Here is a 6,271-nt window from a genome sequence, read left to right on the forward strand (position 1 = left end):
CCCTTATGCAGCTCAGAATTTATTAGAGGCCAAACAATATAGACACAAGTGAAAAACAGAGTTGAGCTACATAATCTTTAAATATCTTGTAACTAGGCCAGGCGCGGTGGCTCACGCCTGTCATCCCAGCACTTCGGGAGGCCAAGGCGGGCGGATCACAAGGTCAGGAGATCGAGATCATCCTGGCTAACACAGTGAAACCCTGTCTCTACTAAAAATACAAAAAATTAGCCGGGCGTGGTGGCGGGTACCTGTAATCCCAGCTACTCAGGAAACTGAGGCAGGAGAATCACTTGAACCTGGGAGGTGGAGGTTGCAGTGAGCCGAGATCGCGCCACTGCACTCCAGCCTGGGTGACAAAGTGAGACTCCATCTCCAAAAAACAAACAAAAAGAATGAGAGAGAAAGCAGTTTCAGGGTTAATATGGCTAGGAAGCAGTCATCAGAGAGCTTAAAGTATTCTGTAGCAGTAGTTCTCAAACTTTATCACCTGTAAGGCTTGTTAAACCACAGATTGCACGGTTTTAGTCTCAGCATTCCTAATCTAGAAGGGCATGGGCAGGGTATAAGAATTTACATTCTAGGGCCGGGCACAGTGGCTCATGCCTGTAATCCCAGCACTTTGGGAGGCTTAGGTGGGTGGATTACTTAAGGTCAGGAGTTCAAGACCAGCCTGGCCAACACAGTGAAACCCCATCTCTACTTAAAATAAAATAAAATAAAAAGCTGGGTGTGGTAGCACGTGCCTGTAATCCCAGCTACTCGGGAAGCTGAGGCATGAGAATTACTTGAACCTGGGAGGGGAGGTTGCAGTGAGCCAAGACTGCACCACTGCTCTCAAACCTGGGTGACAGAGCAAGACTCTGTAAAAAAAAAAAAAATAGGTTTTACATTTTAACAGGTTTCCAAGTGATGCTGATGCTGATATTTCTGGTTCTGGGGCTGCACTTTGAGAACCTCTGCTCTTTAAAAAAAAAAAAAAAAAAAAAAAAAGGATGCCCTTTTGTGTAAATGGGTCTCTACCCTCACACCAATAGTCCCAGAACCATATCCAGAACGAGCTTATCTAGAACTAACTACCTATTGCAATTTGAAAACAAAGATCCCTACTCTCACTTCAAATAAATTAATCACATGTTACTCTTATTGGGTGATGGGGAGAGTAAGGAAGAGGAGAGTCCAGGACATAATTTGGGAGATGGAGTAATAGAGCCCAGGGAAGTCAAGAGACTTGTTCAAGCTCCACAGCTCATGGCCAATAGATAGTCTGTCAAATTTTCACTATATAAAATTGGCACAAAATGTGCCAAATCTGCATTTAGAACATTCGTTTCTGATTGCCATAGAGAAGACAGAACTAAATTCCAAGTAGAAATGATACTTAAGAGATCTAAATGCCAAAGGAACATTGGCGGTTTTTTTTGTTTTTGTTTTTGTTTTTTTTTTTGAGACGGAGTCTCGGTCTGTCGCCCAGGCTGGAGTGCAGTGGCGCGATCTCGGCTCACTGCAAGCTCCGCCTCCTGGGTTTACACCATTCTCCTGCCTCAGCCTCCCGAGTAGCTGGGACCACAGGCGCCCGCCACGACGCCCAGCTAATTTTTTGTATTTTTTAGTAGAGACGGAGTTTCACCGTGTTAGCCAGGATGGTCTCGATCTCCTGACCTTGTGATCCACCCACCTCGGCCTCCCAAAGTGCTGGGATTACAGGCGTGAGCCACCACGCCTGGCCTTTTTTTTTTTATTTTTTATTTTTTACATTATTGTTTTTCTGAAAGCAAGATATACTACTGAGCAATGGAGAAAAAAATTAGAAACAATAAAAGTGTTTATGATAATGGGAGAGAAACCCATTAAGAATTTTATTGGATAAGGATGACAAAATTAACTTTCCCTGTTTTCATTTTAGAATCACTGAACATTTGTGTTTCCATAATAAAAATAGCAATGAAAAGAAAATTGGACACAGCATTACCCTTTTCTCTCTGTGGGGTGGAGGAGGATGATTTGTCCTTCCTTGAAAGATGAGGAAGGCCTACCATGGGTTTAATTAAGGAGGACGTTGTATGCAGAAAAAGAGCAAGGCTTAAGGTATCACCCTGCAACTGAGTTCCCCATGTTGCATAGTAGTTATGCGCTTGGGCTCTGCACTTGGACTCTGCACTTGGACTATGTGATTTTGAATATTGCCATGGGGGCCCTCCATTTCAGAGCCCCTGTACCACCTCATCAACTCTTTCTCACGGTTGGAATAGCTCTGACTTTCTCTTTGCCTACTCTTTTAAATGAGTTTAAATGGTACGTGTGATTAGATTGTGCCCACCTGGGGAAACCTCCCTTTTGCTTAATTCAAAGTCAACTGTCTAGTGCAATAATTTGGTAGGGTGCCATCACAAAATACCAGAAACTGGGTGGTTTAAACAACAGAAATGTATCATCTCAGCAGTTCTGGAGGCTGAAAGTCTGAAATAGAGGCATCTGGTGGGTTGGAACCTTCTGAAGACTGTGAGGGAGAATCCATTCCATGCCTCTCTCCTAGGTTCTCCCAGCCTTATGCACTGACTTGTAGACAGCCTTCTCCCTGTGTCTTTACATTGTCTTCCCCTTACTAGTATCTGTCTGTATACAAATTTCTCCCCCTTTTAAAAATCAGGACATAAGTCATAATGGATTAGGGCCCACCCTAGTGACTTACCCCATCTTCCTATCTTAACTTGAACATCTGTCAAGACCCTATTTCTTTTCTTTTTCTTTCCTCCTTTTTTTTTTTTTGAGACAGAGTCTTAATCTGTCACCCAAGCTGGAGCACAATGGTGCCATCATGGCTCACAGCAGAAGTTCCAGGGTTCAAGTGATTCTCCTGCCTCAGCCTCCCGAGTAGCAGGGATTACAGGTGTGTGCCTAATTTTTGTATTTTTAGTAGAGAGAGGATTTTACCACGTTGGTCAGGCTGGTCTCGAACTCCTGACCTCAAGTGATCCACCTGCCTCGGCCTCCCAAAGTGCTGGTATTACAGACATGAGCCATTGTGCCCAGCCCATATTTCTAAATAAGGTCACATTCACAGGGACTGGGAGTTAGGAACTCAGCATCCTTTAAAACCCATAAGAATTAGTAACCTGAATTAATCTGCAAAATAAATGAGGAAACAGAGGCCAAAGAGGATAAACCACTATCAGATAGACTAGAACCCAGGCACGAGGGCTCGTTACTTCAGCCCTTCATCCTCTGCGTGTGTTCACAATCTCCATTTAAATATATATGTTGTATTAAGGACTACAGTAGTAATTTGGAGTTTGGGAAAATTTCATATCCTGCTTTGATGGACTGGAAGATGAGACGTGCTTTACGCAGAGCCTCTTCATCAATAGGTGAGTGGCTATGAAATGGGGGTAGGAACCCATAGGGAAGAAACTAGATGATCTGCTGAAAATGAGAAGAAAAATGAGCTACTGGACCTGCCAGCTGGCACCACTGCTCAAGTGGATTATGAACTGAATATAGAAAATATTAGGGAACAAAGAGTTACATGAATGTTCACAGCTGCTCTCCTCAAGTGCGTGACCTCTTCCCAAACACATTTTCTGAACGAATCACTCTCAGCAGGAAAGTGGTCTCTCTACTAGGAATAACAAACAAGACAGTCTCTACAGCTACTTGGGCAAAGAAGAGCTTTTCCATGGAGGGGTCTGCTCTTACCTATGTTTTGCAGAATGCTCTGCAGAGAAATACTCACTTTGTTCATGACTTGTCTAATTCCTGGAAAACATCAGCACTGTAATTTAGGATTAGAATCTGTTGAAAAGATGTGCCAGCATTAAAAAAAATTAAGAAACAATGCTGTGAACTTCAGACTTTCTGAGAAAGTCAGAATTATCTGGAATAATTTGGCCCACACATTTCCTCTCAATTGAGAACACAAGGTTTGGAATCAGGCCAGGTGACCTAGGTTATAGCTCTGGCTCTAACTAGATGACCTTGTCCAAGTTACTTAATGTTCATAAACCTCCATTTATCTATCAATAAACAGGCCCAATAATACATACATACCTCATGAGGATGCTGTGAAGATGAGATGAAATCCATCATCAAGGGATGTTAGCCAGAATCAGAATCCTCATCACCACTACATTCTCAAAGTCTCTTTTGATCCAAATTGAACATTTTCAGGAATAATTTTTAAAAATAAAATCTATCTTTTCTTTGTAAATTTGCTTTTTACTTTAATGCTTAATGTTTTGGTCAGTTGAATGAACTCTTTCAGCATCCTAAAATTATGTTAATATTCAGGAAAATATTGCTTACTAAATTTTTTTGGATTAGAAAATAGTGCATGAATGCAGTAAATTCTCTTGTCAGGACTGCAAGCTCACTCAATTGAAGGAATAGTGTTTTATTTTTCTTATTTATTTATTTATTTAGACAGAGTCTCTGTAGCCCAGGCTGGAGTGCAGTGGTGTGATCATAGCTCACTGCAGCCCTGAATATCAGGGTTCAAGTAATCCTCCCAGCTCAGCCTCCCAAGTAGCTGGAACCACAGATGTGTGCTACCATGCCTGGCTAATTTTAAATTTTTTGTAGAGATGGTGTCTTGCTATGTTGCCCAGGCTGGTCTCAAACTCCTGAACTTAAGTTATCCCCCAACCTTCACCTCCCAAAGTGTTGGAATTACAGGCGTGAGCCACCACGCCTAGCCAGGGAAAAGAATACTAAATGTGAACATCAAGAACCTTGATGTTATTTAACAACCTTGTCACTAGCCAGGGAGATGTCCTCCAGTGCCTTAAATCTTGGCTTCCTTATTCATCAGATTTAGTGACTAATGAGGCATAACGGAGTAAGCAACAAAGGACTCATAAAAGAAAAGGTCTCCATTTGGACAATTGCAAGAATGATAATATTTCTACATTGAAATATGGAATTTAGAAGAAAAAATGGCTTATGTAAAAGAAAAACTTTTTTTAGACATCGAGTTCAAGAACGAGTTTAAGAACAGAAATTTCTAGAAATTAGTTGGCAATCTACAACTGGATTTCAGCAGTAAAGACTGAAAACAAAATTAGGATAATCGCTTGGACAGAACATTTGACGTTATTAGAGTGAATGGTAAGTTTGATAAATTTATCGATATGAAAAGAACTAGATGGCCATAAATTATCTTTGGGAAGAAGAGTGGGAACTAGAGGAAGAGAGGTCAGGGGAGATTCACAATAGCCTATGCATCATTATAAATGTGCACATGTCCTGTGGTCAGGCAGTAATGTGTGAAGATACAAGTGAGTGCATGCAATGAAGAAATACAACTTTTGCTAAAACAACATGCTGATCAAAAAGAAAAATAAAAAGAAGGCTAGTTGCGGTGGCTCACATCTGTAATCCCAGCACTTTGGGAGGCCGAGGTGGGTGATCACCTGAGGTCAGGAGTTCAGGACCAGCCTGGCCAACATGGTGAAACCCTGTCTCTGCTAAAAATAAAAAAAATTAGCTGGGCATTAGTGGCACGTGCCTGTAATCCCAGCTACTGGGGGGCTGAGGCAGAAGATCACTTGAACCTGGGAGGCAGAGGTTGCAGTGAGCCGAGATCGTGCCACTGCACTCCAGCCTGGGCAACAGAGCAAGTCTCCATCTCAAAAAAAATAAATAAATAAAAGAAGAAGAAAAAGAAAAGAAAGACAAGAGAAAACCGTCTTTGGGCCTAACAAAGCACTGAGTAGGCATGAGGTTGGGGAGTCAATGTCCATTGAATTTAACCCTTAAGAAAATTTTTTGTGGCTTTCAACACTGCTGGTTCATTAGAGGAGCAGACAGGTTACAAACCATCTTGCTGGGAATCAATAGGAAAGTAAATGATGGGAAAGTAGAGAGAAATTCTATGAGTTTAGGTGTGAAAAGAAGGAAAGACTCCATATGGTAGCCAAAAGGAATGAGGAGGGGAAGGGAAGAGAAATATGGAATCTGCAGGGCTAGAGGGAAGGAAGCATATTATCAGGGAACGGTTTAGGTGAGATCACAGGGCACTCACATAGTCAAGTGGAGTTAAGCTTTGAAATGTTAGCCTAAAATAGTAATAATCTTTAAATATTTACTTATTTGGCAGAATGATTAGCTTAGAAGCAAACTCTTTGTTAAAAGCAACTTCTCTGTTTCTGGAATTCATCCTTATTATTCTAAATAAAGGTAGAGTGTAACTAGACTAAGTTATAATGTGTTGGTCTTAAAAGGTGTGATATTACCTTATTAATTTGAATGACTGGTGCTGATTTCCTCCAATTTA

This window comes from Homo sapiens, chromosome 7, assembly GCF_000001405.40.
Source record: "Homo sapiens chromosome 7, GRCh38.p14 Primary Assembly".
Lineage (NCBI taxonomy): Eukaryota > Metazoa > Chordata > Mammalia > Primates > Hominidae > Homo > Homo sapiens.